Source organism: Homo sapiens, chromosome 1, assembly GCF_000001405.40.
Source record: "Homo sapiens chromosome 1, GRCh38.p14 Primary Assembly".
NCBI lineage: Eukaryota > Metazoa > Chordata > Mammalia > Primates > Hominidae > Homo > Homo sapiens.
Window position 1 is genome coordinate 247,518,349 of NC_000001.11, and position 19,467 is coordinate 247,537,815.

The 19,467-nt window shown below is 43.0% G+C and overlaps 2 protein-coding genes and 1 long non-coding RNA gene across 11 annotated transcripts in view; 1 reads left to right on the forward strand and 2 right to left on the reverse strand.

Annotated features, from left to right (window-relative positions):
• The window catches only part of GCSAML (germinal center associated signaling and motility like), a 70,633-nt gene that overhangs the window by 11,291 nt on the left and 39,875 nt on the right, over positions 1 to 19,467 (forward strand). For 6 of the 9 annotated variants that reach the window (NM_001281853.1, NM_001281834.2, XM_047447035.1 and 3 more), the window contains exon 2: positions 8,592 to 8,706. The gene's annotated coding sequence lies outside the window, so the exon portion shown is untranslated. Of the gene's footprint in view, positions 1 to 103; positions 261 to 7,470; positions 7,624 to 8,591; positions 8,707 to 19,467 lie in introns of those variants that run through there. The other 3 variants (XM_047447037.1, NM_001281837.1, XM_047447036.1) reach the window with 2 other exon arrangements.
• OR2C3 (olfactory receptor family 2 subfamily C member 3) lies at positions 6,329 to 18,092 on the reverse strand. The gene is made up of 3 exons (NM_198074.6): positions 17,820 to 18,092; positions 15,159 to 15,530; positions 6,329 to 14,192 (listed from the first exon to the last, which is right to left on the reverse strand). Exon 3 carries the CDS (start codon positions 14,161 to 14,163, stop codon positions 13,201 to 13,203), a length of 963 nt encoding a protein of 320 aa, NP_932340.4. The 5' UTR covers positions 14,164 to 14,192; positions 15,159 to 15,530; positions 17,820 to 18,092; the 3' UTR covers positions 6,329 to 13,200.
• GCSAML-AS1 (GCSAML antisense RNA 1) lies at positions 6,331 to 12,456 on the reverse strand. Its single transcript, NR_027309.2, has 4 exons — positions 12,242 to 12,456; positions 10,009 to 10,074; positions 8,022 to 8,398; positions 6,331 to 7,585 (listed from the first exon to the last, which is right to left on the reverse strand). It is a non-coding gene; the product is annotated as a GCSAML antisense RNA 1 (long non-coding RNA).

Here is a 19,467-nt window from a genome sequence, read left to right on the forward strand (position 1 = left end):
GCCGCCCTGGCGCCTCTCGCGCGACTTGGCCTCGGCCCCTCGGGGGCAGTGCACTGCTGCGCATGCGGTCTCAGCGCCCGGCCTTCCCGCGCGGCTGCCGCCCTTTCCACGGTGACGCCGTCTGCACTAGCGCCGCACCCGCTTCAACTGCCTGCAACCGCCGCTGAATTCCCTCATCCCCACGCTGAGAGGACGAGAAAGGCGCCCTGGGGAAGGCTCTCGGGAAAGCCCGCAGCCGCTGGACGCGGGAGGACATGGAGGTAGGCGGGAACACTCACCCCGCGATTTCGTGTGGTCCGCGAAGCTTTTTCTCTTCAGGACAACACTGCACAATGGCATCCATTAATAATACGATGGGGAACGGGGGCCGCGGCGCTCGCCTGCAGTCCCAGCGCTTTGGCAGGCCAAGGCGGGCAGATCGCTTGAGCTCAACAGTTCCAGACCAGCCTGGGCAATACAGCGAGAACCCATCGCTACCAGAAATGTAAAAAATTAGCCGGGCTAGTGGCGCCTGCCTTTAGTCCTAGTTACTTGGGAGGCTGAAGCGGGAGGATCGCTTGAGACCAGGAGTTTGAGGCTTCAGTGAGCTCTAATCACACCACTGCACTCCAGCCTGGGCAACTGAGCAAAACCCTATCTCTAAAAAAAGAAAAAAGCGCCGAGATTGTGCCACTGCACTCCAGCCTGGACGACAGAGCAAGACTCAGTCTCAAAACAAAAACAAAAACAAACAAACAAACAAACAAAAAGCGGCAGGGATGTGAATGTGAATGGAGCAAGGCGTTCTCTCTTTCAGGGGTCTCAGACTTTGTATCTTTGCTTGCAGGTGGACTGACTGCCCCATGTCCTTCAAAGTTAATTGCAAAAGAGTTCATTGCAAGAGATGATGTGCTGGTGGAAAGATAGATGCTGCTACTTCTTTCCTTAGTGGGGTTTTACAGGCAGATAATGACTGCTTTGCAGCTCATTTGTGACTCTGATTCCACTGAGCGGTAATGTCATTAGATCAGATACAAGAGTAAGGAGACAGCATGGCAGAAACGCACGTGTGTGTCTGTGGTGAGTGTTTTCTGGGGTACACTTGTTCCCACAGGCCTTTTTGTTCTGAATTTTCCAGACCCCTGTGCAGATGACACTGTTACTTCCTCAGGCTGTTACCTGCCCCCTCAGGCCCTAAGCAGGTAACATGTATCTGCCTAAGAGCAGTGTTTCCTTTACATTTCAGGTTATATGTCACTTACAACATCAATTTAAGTGCGGCAAACATTCGTTATTCTAGGTTAGCATAAAATGGATTAGAAAATTTCACAGAGGACTATGCATGGTAGTGAGTCAGTTGTGTATATGTGTGTGTGAAATGTGTTTCTTACACCGATATAAAAGTTTGAAAGTCACTGCTTTAGAGAGTTTCTGTTGGAACAAGCTTCCAAGCAACCCATATGTCTGTACTAGAGGAAAATCTAGGAATATCACTTTAAGGAAACATAGGGTCGTGTATGGGAAGATATGGACTCAAAGAGTTTGTAGAGCAAGGAAATCACAGCTGCTTAGCATGGGAGAGTTTGCCAGGATAAATGATGATGATATGTTGACAGTGATTATGTTAATCATGCTAATTATGATAAAAATGAAACTTTTTTCAACTCATGCATTTTCACCTTTTGACATTTCTGAAGTAGGAATATTTTAAGATTTAGTGGCAAGTCATAGTTTTTACTTCATATTTTCCTTTAAAATTTACACTAAAAAAAGGTGCGCTTCTCTGATTACTGTAAAAATAAATGAAATTACATCTATTTCCATGAACTACTTAGTTCCTGTAATGGCTAGTTTTGTGTCAACGTGACTAGGCTGTAGTACCCAGATATTTGGTTAAACACCAGTCTGAGTGTTGCTGTGAAAGTATTTTTTTCAGATGACATTAACATTTAGATTGGTAGACTTTGAGTAAAGTAGATTACCCTCCATGATGTGGATGGGCCTGATCCAATTCAGTTGAAGGCCTTAAGAGAAAACAGACTCAGGTCCTACAAGGAAGGAGGAGTTCTTACATCTGCTTTCAAGCTACAGCTGTAACATCAACTTTTCTCAGAGTCTCCAGCCTACCCTGAAGAGTTCTGATTTGCCAACCCCCATATTGAGTTAGCCAGTTTCTTCAGATAAGTACCCCCACCTCTTCACACACACACACACACACACATCTTCTGTTGATTCTGTTTCTCTGGAGACCCCTAATACAGTTGTACTACAAACTTCCCAGAAGTTATATAAAATAAAGCACATCTTGATCAAATTTGGATACGTTTTTGCCTTTTTTTTACAGCCTCAAACTCTTTAGGTTAATGCGTAGTTTTCAAATTTCTTTTCTCATGTTCAAATAGCTGTTTCTTCAAGCAGGACAGTCTTTCCTTATATTTTCAGTTCAGATTTCCTCATTGGATTATTAGAGGTTAAAAAAATTATAGACATTGCAAAAAGGGAAAAGGGGAAACCAACTTACGTCTATACTACTTTATCTTCTGATTTCCGAAAGGGAAAAGAAGTTTGTTGCAATCTTCTGTGTTTCTTATTAAGCCTCTGAATTTTTTCACTGCTCTGTCTTATAGTTTTAGTATGCTTAGCCTGGTGTGTACTAGACATTGCCTCTGGCACTACACCACATGCATTTAGTGTGGGCCTATATAAACTTAGTCAAGCAACTGTGTTAGAAAAAAATTTTATTCTGTGGTGAAATAAATCTTAGAATTTGAATTTACATTCTTGCATTTTTTTTTTTTTTTTTTGCAAGGAGAAAATCCTATAGGCATCTTTCTAACCATCCACCCAACTAGGAATTGGGAATCCAAAAAAATTGAGAATCCACTCAATTTTTATATACCTGCAGTATTAATTATAACAGGATTGATGAGACTGTTACAAGGTTGTAAGCATTTTCAACAGTTTATGAAAAACATAATGTCTCCCTCTCCCTCTCCAGTCTCCCTCTCCCTCTCCACGGTCTCCCTCTCCCTCTCCACGGTCTCCCTCTCCCTCTCCACGGTCTCCCTCTCCCTCTCTTTCCATGGTCTCCCTCTGATGCCGAGCGGAAGCTGGACTGTACTGCCGCCATCTTGGCTCACTGCAACCTCCCTGCCTGATTCTACTGCCTTAGCCTGCCCAGTGCCTGGGATTGCAGGGGGCGCCACGACGCCTGACTGGTTTTCGTATTTTTTTGGTGGAGACGGGGTTTCGCTGTGTTGGCTGGGCTGGACTCCAGCTCCTAACCGCGAGTGATCTGCCAGCCTCGGCCTCCTGAGGTGCTGGGATTGCAGACGGAGTCTCGTTCACTCAGTGCTCAATGTTGCCCAGGCTGGAGCGCAGTGGCATGATCTCAGCTCGCTACAACCTCCACCTCCCAGCCGCCTGCCTTGGCCTCCCAAAGTGCCGAGATTGCAGCCTCTGCCTGGCCACCACCCCGTCTGGGAAGTGAGGAGCATCTCTGCCTGGCTGCCCATCGTCTGGGATGTGAGGAGCCCCTCTGCCCGGCTGCCCAGTCTGGGAAGTGAGGAGCGCCTCTTCCTGGCCGCCATCCCGTCTAGGAAGTGAGGAGCGTCTCTGCCCGGCTGCCCATCGTCTGAGATGTGGGGAGCGCCTCTGCCCCGCTGCCCCGTCTGGGATGTGAGGAGCGCCTCTGCCCGGCCGCAACCCCGTCTGGAAGGTGAGCAGCGTCTCTGCCCGACCGCCCCATCTGAGAAGTGAGGAGCCCCTCCGCCTGGCAGCCGCCCCGTCTGAGAAGTGAGGAGCCCCTCCGCCTGGCAGCCGCCCCATCTGGAAAGTGAGGAGCGTCTCCGCCCGGCAGCCGCCCTGTCTGGGAGGTGGGGGGCAGCCCCCGCCCAGCCAGCCGCCCTGTCCGGGAGGGAGGTGGGGGGCAGCCCCCACCCGGCTAGCCGCCCTGTCCGGGAGGGAGGTGGGGGGCGCCTCCACCTGGCCGCCGCCCCGTCTGGGAGGTGGGGGACGCCTCTGCCCGGCCGCCCCTTCTGGGAGGTGAGGAGCCCCTCTGCCCGGCCGCCACCCCGTCTGGGAGGTGTACCCCACAGCTCATTGAGAATGGGCCATGATGACGATGGCGGTTTTGTTGAATAGAAAAGGGGGAAATGTGGGGAAAAGATAGAGAAATCAGACTGTGGCTGTGTCTGTGTAGAAGGAGGTAGACATAGGAGACTCCATTTTGTTCTGTACTAAGAAAAATTATTCTGCCTTGGGATGCTGTTATCTATGACCTTAACCCCAACCCCATGCTCTCTGAAACATGTGCTGTGTCCACTCAGGGTTAAATGGATTAAGGGCGGTGCAAGATGTGCTTTGTTAAACAGATGCTTGAAGGCAGCATGCTCATTAAGAGTCATCACCACTCCCTAATCTCAAGTACCCAGGGACACAAACACTGCGGAAGGCCGCAGGGCCCTCTGCCTAGGAAAACCAGAGACCCTTGTTCACTTGTTTATCTGCTGACCTTCCCTCCACTATTGTCCTATGACCCTGCCAAATCCCCCTCTGTGAGAAACACCCAAGAATGATCAATAAATACTAAAAAAAAAAAAAAAAAAACCATAACGTATAACTTTTAATGAGAAATTTTTCTGAGTGCTCTAACAAATACTGCTTCACATTGCTAACACTCAGTCTAGTTTTAGAAAATATATATGAAATCCTCTATTGTATCAAAAATGTTTATCATTTTTAGTAAATAAATGAACCTCCATCTACTGTTTGTCAGTAGCTCTTGCTCTGCAGTTTGGGGTTGGCAACCTCCTACAGAACAGATGCCCCTTCAACCTATATACACTTTATCTCCTTTGAACCACTGTAGTTTTGGTCTCTGTTACAGCAGCGTAATAATCAAGTAATAATCAAGACCTATATGAAGAAAACTGGAAATCTTTCCTGAAGGAATAAAAGATCTACATGCATATATAGACAGGAATAATTCCTAACATTCATTGAGGTTTTACTGTGCTAGTCATTATATTGAGTACCAATTTCTCATTACTTAAGTCTCTGCAGAAACCTTTCAAGACTGGTGTTTTTGCCACCCTTTACAGATAAAGACAACAGGGTTCAGAGAGGTGGGTTTATTGACCAAGGATTCATAGTCAAGTGAGGCATCAGGACCCATAGCAAGTACTTAATGACATGATCCCACCCCCGTGCTTCAGTTCCTTTGTTCATTATCCACATGGAAGTCTTGGTCCTGCAAACATGGTAAATTTTCCAGACATTAATTTAAAAATGTAGTTCAATACTAACCACAGTCAATAAGATACTGTTTTGGGTTAGGAGGAAACTAGCTGTGACTTTAACTTGGTAGAGCAGAACATAGTGACAACCATGAAAAGTCTAAATTAGAAAAATAGATAATGATTGATGCCTTGTTCTACTAGATGACAAAATATACTATACATCAACAGCTATTAAAAGTGTTACAAATGTGAATGAAATAAAATAAATGAATAAATATTAATAGAATTGATATTCCTGAAATAAATTTGCACATATATGAAATTTTGAATATGGTAAAGGTATAATTTGAAGCAAATAATGAAAATACAGCTAGCGAAATAAATTGTTTTGGGACAATTGACTGAACATTTGGAAAACAACATCTGTCTTACACACACACACACACACACACACACACACACTCTGCAGATGCAGTGAATTGAAAACCTAAACATAAAATAGAAAACCATAAAACGAGAAGATAAATACAATCTGGAAGATCGCAGGCCATTTCTAAGCATAACTCCAAGCATGAAGGCTTATCATGCCCTTTACTTCTTCCAAATAGTCTGAAAATATGAAATTCCATACATCTAGGGTCTCTAAGACATTTATTACCTGGGCCTGAGGGATCTCTCAGACCTCACTTCCCACCACTCTTTCCCTTACTCTCTTTCAGCCACACCAGCCTTTCTACACATGTAGCCCTTCCTCTTCCAAAGCCTTGATACTGGCTACTCCCTCCCCTTGGGATGCCCTCCATACCCATGCTGTGTGACTTCCTCCTTTGTTTCAGGGGAGAGCGCAAGTGGCAGTCCCTAGACCTCATGTCACCTTCTCCAGGCTCACCCTGCATGGCAGTTGATCGTATCTCTTAACCGACATTCTCATTTGCTTGCTTTGTTGGTGAATATTCTCTCTTCCCGAACTTTTGCATCCTATGAAAGCAGGGATATCAGTTATTTATTCCTGCATCTTCAGCCTCCAATACAGGCTGCATACATAAACCATGTTTAAATAATAATTCATTTCTTTGAATGAAATAATGAACAGTCCCACAACTAGAAGGCATAAAGGCATGATTGATAGTTTATTTAATACATATAACATTTAAAACTTTTGTACCACAAAGGAAACAAACAAAACATAGCAAAAGGATAAAACGTCCCACTAGAAAAACGATTCAACACTTATATGATGACAAAGATGTGTAGAATCATGTCAACTACCGCTACAAATCAGTAAGCAAAAAGGTAAAACAATGAAAATTTAAGAAAAAAACAATTTATTGAAGAAACACAAATAGCCCCAAAACATACCAGAAGATGTTAAACCTCACTAATGATTAAATCAATGCCAAATAAAATGATACTGAGGTAAGATTTGCAAGTAAAACTAAAGTTACTAACAAAATCAAATGTTAGTGAAACTGTGAGAATATATGCCTTTGTACACATTATTGGCAAAAGTACGAATTTGGTGTCTGAAGGGAAATTTAAATATGTCCACATAATGTCAACATGTTCTATAAGGAAAAACAAACTAAAGCGCTTTTTCTATTCTCTCACTCAACAATCAACACAGAAGACTTCTGTGACTAAAGGTGATGGGGTTAAGCCCATACACCAAGCAAACAATCAATCCTATGGCAGACACCAGCTGGGTGTCCTTCAATTCAGTTTTGACACTATCTACCTGGAAATAACGCCAGGTCTGCTGGGTGAGGGCTAAGTCTCATAAGACATCCCCGTTTCCAATACCAATTATAAGCCTCAAGTTCTTTTTACCTGTGTGTCTGACCAGTCAATCAGCTGTAAGTCTGGGTTACCACAGCCCCCTTCTTGGGTTCAATTAATTTGCTAGAGCAGCCCACAGAACTCATGGAGGCATCTACATTTAGCAGTTTATTGTAAAGGATATCGCAAGAGATGCAGATGAAGAGATGCATAGGGTGAGGTATAGGGAAAGGCTGTGGAGCTTGCATGCTCTCTCCAGGTTCACCACCTTCCAGGAACCTCCACGTCTTCAGCTATCTGGAAGCCCTCTGAACCCAGTCCTTGAGGGTTTTTATGGAGGCATCATTCTGTAGGCATGACTGATTAAATCACTGGCCATTGGTGTTCTGCTTAACATTCATCCCTTCTTCCCTCCATGGAGGTTGGGGGCTGGGTCTGACTATCTTAATTCTCTAATTCTGCCTTGGTCTTTCAGGTGCCCAGCTCCCATCCTGAAGCTACGTAGGGACTACTAGCCATTTGTCAACTCATTAACATACAAGTACCACTTTAAGGAATCCAAGGATTTTAGTAGTTGTATGCCTGGAAACCTGTTGAAGACCAAATATATGCTTCAGAGTATATACATGTGAATACCATTTGATTTTTTATTCTAAAATTTATCTTGAGCTACTAGTCAAGTTTGCAAGGATTTCAATACACATGAACTTATTGTAGCTTTGTTTGTAATAATGAAAATGAGAAATTCCACGGTGATTAGGTTTGAAATATACCTGTGCACAGCATGTGTTGAGATGAGAAAATATCTGTGATCTATTAAGTGAATTTATTTGCCAAGAAATCTTGAGCCTGCTATTCCCTGGGTTAGTTTCTGAATTCTTGCATTCCTTTCTTACCATGAGAAGCTTGCCATGTTGAGGGTGATTATAATTTTTAAAGTTTATATTTTTTACTCTATCTGGCTCATAATACCTGACCTAAAGTTCTGACAGAAGCTGGAAGATAAACTGGTGTGTGAGAAATTACCTTAGTCTGGGTGTTTCCAAGGCAGAAGCTGTGTCCAGTGCACATGTTCTGTGATCCCAGAGAGCAGGAAAGGGCAAGGACAAAGAGGGTTTGGCCATGACCAAGGGTGACTGGTGCTCCATCCTTCTGGAAACTGGGAGCTTTGTGAAATGCATCTTACTTCAGGAAGTGTGTCTCCACTGGCTTACATCCCCACAGTCAATGTGGCCTGGGTCCTTCACTCTCCACATTTCTCAGCTGTGCATGCTGTGGTGATGCATGACCCTCACAGTGTGCAGCATGGGAGGAAACCCATACATGAAGTAGAGGGTTCACAGAGCAGGTTTGGGATGATCCAGGTTTTCTGTCCTGTGAGAAGCCATCAAAGCCTATGGTTGCTGCAAGAGGAATAAAAGAAAAGATGGAGCCTAGAAAATTCTGACATATTCGGCTGAAAAGGGACCTGGCATCGAAAGACAAGTGGTGTCCAATATGGCATGTTAGCATTTTCCTCTTCATTTACTATAACTTAAATCCAAGTAAGATGGGACTTCCCTCTATTTAGAAAGGTCTTCTTTCACTTTCTTTCAGGATTTACTGCCTCAAGATGGTTATGTTGGAGGATTCCAATAGTTCTACTGGATGTGGAGCCAGAAATTGTGTGGAATGCCTGGTGTTTCTTTCAGTTCTTGGATGCCAATCTGAGGTACAAATCACATTTCAAGTGTATTTCCTTGGGTTCTGGAGAGGATGTCTTCATTTTCTGTTAAGCATTTAGGGAGCAGTTGGGTGAGCACATGACCAATCAGCCTGAGCATTTAAGGCAGTTGGAGGAGAGTGTGAGTTATGGTCATCATTCTCCTCTGTGCCAAACAGGGGCTGATGGATGGTCAGGGCAAAGCACAGTGCTGTCCTCATGGTTCTGGGAGGGTCTGCGTTGTCTGCTATCCCCACATAAACTGATGAGGACCTGCACTCCTGTCCTGAGTTGACACCCAGCCTTGAGGTCAAGAAGATGACAGATATTTGGGGTAACGGGTCCCAGAGGGTCCTACTGCCACTTCCTCATTGCTTTCTCTGGAGGTTCTACCAACTTGACTACTGAGCTTAAACAAAGCCATGAACTGGCAGATGAAAATTACAGTGCATCCAAACTCCAGAGATTTTTAATTAGTCTTTTCAAGAGGTTAGGGAAAGTTTTTAGTATTCAGATTGAAGTTTTTCTTCAGATCTTGAATGTTTGAAAATTTTTTTATTTTAGCTTTTAGTGGACATATAATAATTGAACATATTTCTGGGGTAAACAGTGATGTTTGGAAGCACATAATGTATAGTGATCAGATAAGTGTGATTAGAATATCCATCATCTCAAACATTTATCGTTTCTTCGTGCTGGGAACATTCAATATCCTCCTTCTAGCTGTTTGAAAATACAGAATATATTATTGTTATGGTCATCCCGCAGTGGTATAGAACACTAGAACTTACTCCTCCAATGGAGCTGTAATTTTGTATCCTTTAACAAATCTCTTCTCATTCCCCCACCCCTGCTATCCATTCCCAGCCTCAAGTATCCTCTGTTCTACTTATTTCTATGAGATCAACCCTTTTTTAGCTTTCACAGATGAATGAGAACATGCAGTATTTAACTTTCTCAAAAATTTTATCTAATACTTTAAAAGTTATGATTTCCCCCATTTGTTTCTGTTTCTTCGGTCTTTGGGTTCTAAACTGAGTAAAAAATGTCAGTAACTTGATTTCCTACCTTCCTGACTCATAATAATGTTATCATGTGTCTCTGACTCCTAGAGTACCTGCTGTCTGCTTTTTTACTTCCCCTTCCCCCACCCCCAAGCCCCCAAAATTGTATAATTATTTTTTAAATTTCATTTTAGTTTGTTTTTAATTCACAAATAACAATTGTACACACTTATGGGGTGCAGTATGATGTTTTGATACATGTATACTTGTGTAATGATCAAATCAAGGTAATTAACATATCCATTACCTCAAACACTTGTCATTTCTTTGTGGTGAGAGCGTTCAAAATCCTGTCTTCACAACATGCATGAACCTAGAAGACATTGTGTTAAGTGAAATAAGCCAAACACAAAGGGACAAATCCTGCATGATCTCACCCATATTTCATGTTTAGCCAACTGTTAAAGAAGGAAAAAGCATGGGCCAGTTTACAAATGAATCTGCATTATACACCAGCAACAGAAAGAAGCAAATGGCATTAAACCACAGTACCCCTCCAGGTGTTGCTGAAAGATGGTGAGGAAGGGAAACTTCCCAGTGGTCAAACTACAGGCAGTTTAGCTGGTTGTTAATTTTTTATAGAAGGAGACAGGCACAGAAGTTTGGATATGCACTGATTTAGGAGCATTGGATAACAAGTTATTATTTTGCTGAGAGATTTGTGAAGAATAAGGCTGGAAAATTAATGGCAGGCAAATCTGGAGAAGAGGACATTGAAGAATTTCCTGAAAAGTGCACAGATCATGAAGATATCTGTCTGACATAAATGCCCATGAGAGGGCATCCACTGCAGAGATGGATCTTGGTGGTATGGTAGATAAGATGACTCATCTAGTAGGTAATCAGTCAATCTCTTTTGCCAGCAGGCTTGCTCATTGAGCCTATGAGAAATTTAACATGGAAGCAGGGATGGAAACTATGAATGGGCTCAGCATTATGACATTTCTCTCACCAAGGTTAGCATGTGATTTGGCACTATTTCCAGGCGTCTGGCTGGACTAGTAGCATAGTGATTACTCTGGACTCCTTTGAGCATAGAGTAAGCAATGTTAGTCTTTATAGGGACAGAATAATATTGTGGGGACAGTTTTGTCTTCCATGCCCGAACCATTTACATAGTGAACAAAGCCTTAATCATCACCATGGCATCCCCTGCAATATCACCTGTAACCAGGAAACATATTTCACAGCAAAAGGGGTGTGGCAATAGAATTGCCCTTGGAATTCATGATTCATACTTCATACCTCAATATTCAGAAGCAGTGGGCTTGACTGAATGATGGAATGGGCTTTATTGAATGATGGAATGGCCTGCTGAAGGTTTAGTTATTGAAGCTGAGAAACAATACTGTGTAAATAAGCACTGCTTTCCTGCAGGCTGCAGTGTATGCCCTAAACCTGCAGTCACCGTAACCTGATACATGAGTCCAGAAACCAACAAGACATGAGAGTGTCTCGTACATGATGCATAATAATCCAGTTGAAGAATGTTGCTTCACTTCACTGAAAGTTTGGGTTTGGTGTGATGGTTCATTTTACATATCAACTTGGTTGGACTATGGTGCCCAGTTTTTGTTCAAACACAAGCCTCGGTGTTACTGTGAAGGTGTTTTTTTTTTTTTTTTTTTTTTTTTTTGATGCGATTAACATTTAAATCAGTAGACTTTTAGTAAAGCAGATTACCCTTTATAATGTGAGTGGGTCTCATCCCATCAGTTGAAAGCCTTAAGAGAAAAGACTGACCTGCTTCCAAAAAGAGGGAATTTTGCCTCCAGACTTTGAACTCAAGCTGCAACATCAACCTCTGTCAAAATTTACAGCCTGCTGGCTTGCCCTGCAAATTTCAGACTTGCCAGTTCCCTAAATTGTGTGAGCCTATTTCTTAACTCTCAATCTCTCTCACTCTTTTTTCTCTCTCTCCCCCTCAGGGTGTGTGTGTGTGTGTGTATTCTCTTTTACACATATTTTTGGTTCTGTTTCTCTGGAGAACCCTGACTAATACAGTGAATTGGAAGATCCTAGTACGAAAGGAAAGACTACTTTAATGACTACTTTCATATTATATACATATATATAATAAAATCAAAAACAGGAACTGCCACATGGTTTTGGTCTTCCCATGCCTTTGAATCATCAGGCAGAGAATGAGGTTACTCTATTGATAGAGGTGAACTCTAGTGATAGGTTACTCTATTGATAGAAGTTCTTTAACATCTGGAAAGACTAGCTGTTGTAAATTAGGACTCGTTTGTCCTTTAGATACACTGTATACATAGATAAGTAAAACAAAATGCACAATCATAAGAAACAATGGTGAATCTCGCCTCACTGTAAGCACACTGGCTTAGAGCTCTCTGCACCTCCCTTTTCCCCTCCTTCCCTGAACCAGTCCACAAACACCATGCCATCCCCCCCCCACAAAATAACATTTCCTATGAATTTTAACAAAAAGTTATTTACAAAATGTGTCATTTTACTACCTCTAATTTTAACATGTATCAGGTACTTCAGAACATCTAGAAGAAACAGACATCTCAAAAAAGCTTAGCGTTGTTACCTCTATATACAGAAGTAATAAAATGCACACAAAACAATGGATAGAATATGAAAATGTCTTGGAAATACGACCCGTCAGGACTAGGTAGGTCTCGCCCAACTGCGACAGAGCGGTCGCCCAGGACGTGGACCTGCCGGCCGCCTCTGGACCGCCTTCCTCGCCCTCCACAGCCTAACGGCCTCCGGGCGCATTTGGGCGGCGCCATGTTTCCTCCCCGCTTACCGCCGCCACCCGAAGGCGCTGAGTCCCGGCGGCTCGGCGCGGTCTTGGTCTGGGTCGGTGGGGTTGGGCCGGGAGACCCGCGGCCGGCGGGGTCCAGGCTGGGGGAGGCCGCCGCTGCCACCAGGTCCCCGAGGTAGGGTAGGAAGAGGTTCGCCGCGGCTTCAAGGCCTGGGCCGAGCGGGGGAGCCACAGCGAGGGTTCCGGAGCCTGCAAGGCGGAGTCCCGGGCTCAGCTCACCCCAGGCGCAGGCCTGAGGGCTGGGAGGGCTCCGGGGGCTCTGGGGAACAGGCCGGCTCCGGTCTCCCCGCGCGCTCTCAGCGTCGTCAAAGTTTATTATCCACGGAGCGTCCTGGAATCCACCCGCTTCGGATACTGAGGAACAGCTGAACAACAACGCAAGGAGTTTACAAAACAAGATGACAGTCAACATGTGTATATATAGCAAAAACCAACAACGCAATTGAACAAAACTATGATAATTAGCAAATAATAAATGTATTTTCTTGGTCTGGAAATGGCATGAGCACACTCCTTTCAGATTTCCATCTACCTTGAGCTCAAACAATATTAGAAGAAAAACGACATCCCAAGTGCCCTGTCTTCCAAGGTCACTTTGCTCGATGTAAACTTGATCTTCCTTCTCAGAAGGCACTGGAGTCTCTAAATTTGCGCCAGCTTGCCTGCAGAGCCACAGCAGTTCTCTAATACCATGTGCCGGAGGGCGCTCTTCACCTCCGTGTTCCTCAGGGTGTAAATAAGTGGGTTCAGCGCAGGAGTGACTACGGTGTAGAACAGAGCTATGAACTTGCCCTGCTCATGGGAGGTGCTCTTGGCTGGCTGGAGATACATGAAGATGATGCTCCCGTAAAACAGAGACACCACAGCCACGTGGGAAGAACAGGTGTTGAATGCCTTTCTCCGCCCTTCTGCTGACCTGATCTTCAACACGGCCCGGGCAATGTGGCCGTAAGAGACCAGGATGAGCCCCAGAGGCAGGACAACAAAGACAAAGCTGGCCAGGTACATCTCCATCTCATTGAGGCTGGTATCCACACAAGCCAGTTGCATAATGAGGGGCATCTCGCAAAAGAAGTGGTCGATGCAATTGTTCCCACACAGCGGTAGGAGCATGGTGAGCGTGGAGCCCACCATGCTGGTGGTCAGACCCCCCAGCCAGGAGGCCAAAGCTAGCCCAAGGCAAAGCTGTGGATGCATAATGACAGTGTAATGGAGTGGCCTGCAGATGGCAGCGTAGCGGTCATAGGACATGGTGGCCAGCAGGACACACTCGGTTGCCCCCAGCCAATGGGAGATATAGAACTGGACCACACACCCTCCATAGCTTATGGTTTTCTGTGGTCCCCAGAGGTTAGCCAGGAGCTGTGGGACAATGCTCGTGGTGAAGCTCATGTCCAGGAAGGGGAGGTTGGCAAGAAAGAAGTACATAGGTGTGTGGAGGTGCACATCTGTATGGGAGACCAGAATGATGATGCCATTGCCCAAGATCGATACCATGTAAAAACTCAAGACAACTATGAAGAGGACAGTTTCTAGTGAGGGTCGTGTGGAGAAGCCCAGGAGGACAAAGACTTCTGGAGAACTCACATTGGCTATTTCCATCATTGTATGCTGGGGGTGGGGCAAAAGGCCACCTGTGGGAAGAGCACAGGGCATACAGGGCATGAGACATGAAGCAATTACATCAGTTAGCAAACATTAAAAGTGTATTTTAGTTCATTTTATGTTATTCTTTTTTAGAGACACAATTTCACTGTGTTGCCCGGGCTAACTTCAAACTCTTGGGATCAAGCAATCCTCCCACCTCAACTTCCTTGGTAGGTTGAGAATACAGGCACGTACTACCATGTCTGGCTAAAAGTACATTTTATACCCATTGTTTTCAAAAGTAGCCACTCAACAGCTACGTGGATGGCATTGCATTACCTTCCTCACGGCCAACTTGGACTGTATAATAAAAGACTGGGTGGGGGGTGTTCACTGTCTGGGGAAAATGGACATTCATGCAAAATCCTTAGCACTGCTTTTTTAAAATGGAAATATTATAGTAACAACATCTATATGCAACCTAAATGTTTAGCAATAAAGGGTTAGTCAGGTAGAGGGTGGTCATTCATGTGATGAACCACTGTACAGGCATTAAAATTGTGCCCTCTCAAATTCCACAATCATCTGCAAGTTTTTGCTGTCGTTAACTATATCCAGTTTTTTATCCCTTCTCACCACCCCTGCTCCTGCCACTCTGGCCCATCTTGCCATCATTTATCATCTGAATTTTGATCTAATACTCTAACTCATCTCTCTGCTTCTCCTTTGCTCCCCTTCCAAGTACTCTCAAAAAAGTGTTGGGGCTCAGAAAATGATACCCCACCATGAAGGCTTCAGAAGCAAAAGTTTCTCTTTCTCCTGCCTTCTTGTCCGTGGCCCCTCATTCTTCCCCGCAGTTAGCCATAGAAATTAGAATCCCTCTTCCCCAAGGTGACACATAGAAACCAGAGCCCCTTTTCCTCAAAGCCAGCCATAAAACCTAAAAATGTTACTCTAACTTTCCCTCCACCTTTCTGTGTTAAAACTAGCCATAAATAAATTATCTGACCTACCTTACTGGATTGTAGATCATAAGACCTCCATTCCAGAGAGGTCTTATTGCATACCAAGAAAAAAGGAACACTGCTCAGAGAGGCCAAAAAGAATCTCACGATGGGTCTTGCTGGGCTTCTTCACTCAGTCCATCAGTATTAGATCATGCCCTTCATGTTCAATCATATTTCTACATGGCTGTCCATATGGCTTTGAACCTAAGCATAAAAATGGGAAGTTTCTCTTGTATCTTTGGATTCTCATCTGAAGGCTCCTCTGTTATGTAAAACTATGATCAAATAAATGTGTATGTCTTTTCTCCTATGAATCTGCCATTTGTCAGTTGATTTCTGTGAAATTTCAGAGGACAAAGGTGAAATTTTCCCTCACTCCTACGAAAGCAATCACAGGATTACATTAAGACATATGATCACATCAGTCTGCTGCTCAACACCCTCATTGTCTTGGTACAAGGCTTGCAGCTGCAGTTTGCTATACTTACAGTGCTTTCTCCCCAAGACATCCACACACCCCCTTCCTCACCTTCTTCAGGTCATTTTTGAAAAGTCACCTTCTGACTGAGGCCCTCCCTGACTGTGTTATATAATATTGAAAACCCTCACAACTCCCTTCTCTCTCTTTCCTGAATTATTTTTATATAAGGTGATAATCTTATAACAAATAAACTACTCTTATTTCTTTTGTTTGCTACCCGTCTCGCTCCACTAGATCATAAATTCCATGGAGCCATAGTTTTATCTTTTGTTTACCTCTGGGTCCCCAGTGTCTAACCCAGTGTCTGATACACAGTAGTCCCTTAATCAATATTCATGGACGTGCATCATGAAACAGGTTGCTAGAAAGGTTCTGTGGGGTGGAAGAGGCAGGACTAGAGTAATATGAAGGCAGAGTGGAAGGACTCAGCATAAACTTTCGGTAGTGTTGTCAGGAGAGAGCTCTTGGAACTGCCAGAGTCATGCAGAAGGGTCTGGACTATCCTCTGCTTTTGTACAGTTGGAATAAAACGAGCACGATTTAGCAGGGGCAGTGCATAAAGTCAGAAACTGGACAATTTCAGTGTGCTTCCGATGTCCCTGAAGACCTTTGGGGCCCTTCTTTGCAAAACATTAATTCTAGCCTGTATTTTAAAAAGGAGAATCAATTTATTATAGTTAAGATTCACCCAGATTAGGGGAACAGAGCAGCTGTGAACTTAACTATCAGCCTTCTTAAAATCCCAGAGAGTAGAATTTACCTATCCCTGTAACTGGAAGTCAATTAAACAAAATAGACATGAACAGACATGTGCATTCAGTTTTAAAAATACAGGTAGGTTTTCCATTGTGCATGTATAGAAATGAGGCTCAGAAAACTCTAGGCATTTGTTAAAATTCACACGTGGAAGCTGTCCCATTGTGGACTTACTGTGTCAGAATACTGAGACAATCATCTGGCCTGCATATAGTAGGCCAGGGAAGCATTAATACTATGGGAGAAGGCATCCTGGAGAATACATTCCAACCTCCTCCAAATCAGGGAGGCAAGCCGGGGGCGGTGGCTCATGCCTGTATTCCTAGCACTTTGGGAGGCTGAAGTGGGGGGAATCACTTGAGCTCAGGAGTTTGAGACCAGCTTGGGCAACATAGTGAGAGATTGTCTTTACAAAAAAATAAAATAAAATGACTGAGTGTGGCTGTGTGTGCCTGTAGTCTCAGCTACTTGGGAAGCTGAGGCTAGAGGATGGCTTCAACCCACGAGATCAAGGCTGTAATGAGGCATGATTGTGCTACTGCACTCCAGCCTGGGCAACAGAGCAAGACCCTGTCTCAAAACAACAACAAACAAACCAATCAGGGAGGTAGAGTTGAGACCTGTCAAAACGTGGATGTTTTCATCATGTGAATGTGAGAGAGAAAAGATGAACTGGGATTGGGAGAGTTAGGTACAACTGAGTCATGACAGTCAAAGTGGGTGTACTGTATATAGAGTCACCGCAGGTGAGCTGAAAAACAACAGGTTAAACTGACAACTGCATTATGACCCGTGGGTGTAAGTATATCCCATCTGTGGAAAGATAAAAATTTTGTTGACTCACAGTTGATAACATGCAGAAAATGTGTAAATGATGCTGAGAGGAACCACAAGGTCACTCATGAGGTAATAGTTTAGTAGAATTTTTGAGGAAAAAGAGATCTTTGTGGTGATCTGATCTACTTCTAGAAATGTTTAGTAACTTATCCAAAGCCCCTGGGCTGCTTAGTCATACTGGAGCTATACCCAAGATACTCAGATTCTTAGTACAAAAATAGCGTTTTCAGTAAAGGAAGAGGTTTGCTTACCCGCAGAGATTCACCAAAATTGTCACAATTAAAAACTCACTTTTCAAAATGCAACCCTATCCCAAACACTGTGCCATTAAGACAAAGATAGCATACTGAAAGTTAAGGAAACGTCTTGAGTTCAAATTTTGTCTGAGTTAACTAGGCAGTCACAAACTGTATCGCAGAACATAGGCAAGCTGCTAGAATATCAAAGGCCACATGAGGAAATCAGATCATTTAAACGGATCAGTGCTTATCAATTTTAACTGGAATTACCAGAAAGTCTGAGATCCAGTTTATCTTAAATACCATAAACAACAACAACAACAAACAAACGACAAAATTCAAAATGTCACTTACTAATGGTGAGCTAGCAGCATCATCTCTATTTATGCAGGGTGGAAATGTTGTAAAATGGGCAATATTTTATTAAAAAGACTGATAACATTCATGAATTCAATGCGTGTGGCATTAAAAAAATAGGAGTTTAGCCAGGGGATTTTAAAGCCCTGCAAATAGTGGAAATCTCTAAGTCGGTGGTAGCAGACGTGTTAGATTCTGTTCAAATTCATGTCTAAAGGACACATTATTAAGTATTTAAATCACAATGGGATTGAACTAGCAGAAAGCACTTAAAATACTTTGTAAGAAAATTGATAATCAAAGGAGTGAGAATGGCTCATGGTGTTTCCAGAATGAGAAAGTATATGCAGACCCTAAAGGGTGAAGTGTGACATAAAGTCCTTATAATTCTAAGACATTGATTGTAACCCCTGGAGCCTTCAGGAGGGAGCCTGAGGGTGATGGCATATATCAGGGGAGTAAAAGTGGAGGGAAAAAAGCTTTTGGGATTTCTTTCCCTATTGGATAATTATAACTTCATTGTATTACACACACAGAATTGTTTCTTTTTTATGACTGGAATATTATTTTAGTTTTTATACTGCCAAACTGCTTATGGAGCGTAAGAATCAAGTCTCTCTATCATGTAGTGAGGGAGATAGTCTGAGACATTTGCTCATTCTGTTAATTTTGATACATGCTGCTATAGACTCTTTTTTTAAAAAAACCATTGATTTTATTATTGGTGTATACATCAGTGATGAGATAATGTTTTTCTTAATAAGTTAAATTTATCAATTTATTTTTATTTTGGTAAAATACAGATAGCATATAAATTTATCATTGTAACTATTTTAAGTGTGCAAGTCAGTGGAATTAAGTTCTTTCACAAGACTGTACCATCACCTCTATCAAGCGTCAGAACTTTTTCATCACCTCAAATGGAAAACCTGTAGCCATCGAGCAGTCAGTCTTCATTTGCCAGCTCTCCCTAGCCCTGCCAGCCACTAATCTGCTTTCTCTATGTATGGATTTGCCTATTTTGGATATTACATATAAATGGACTTATATCATACATGTTATTGTGTCTGGTTTCTTTCATTTAACATGATATTTTCAAGGTTCATCTATGTTGTAGCGTGTATCAGTACTTCATTCTCTTTTAAAGAGGAATAATATTCCATTCTATGACTCTACCACCTTTTGTTTATTCATCTGTTGACAGACATTTGGGTTAGTTTGTTGATGAACATTTGAGTTGTTTCTACCTTTTGGCTATTGTGAATAGAGCTGCTATGAACATTCACATACAAGTTTTTGTTTGAACTCCGTTTCTGATTCTACTGGGTATACCTGGGAGTGGAATTGCTAGGTCTTATGGAAATTCTATGAACAACTTACTATTGAACCAGCAAACTTTTCTGCTGCAGCTAAACAGTCTTTACATTTCTACAAGCAATTTGTGTTCCAGTTTCTCCACATAATCACCAGCACTTGTTATTTTCCACTTTTTACAATCTTTTTTTTTTCCTTTATGGCCATCGTAGTGGATACAAAGTGGCATCTCATTGTGGTTTTGATTTGTGTTTCCCAGCAGCTAATAATGTTGTGCATTTTTTAATGTGCTTGTTGGCCACTTACTTGTCTTCTTTGGAAAAATGTCTAT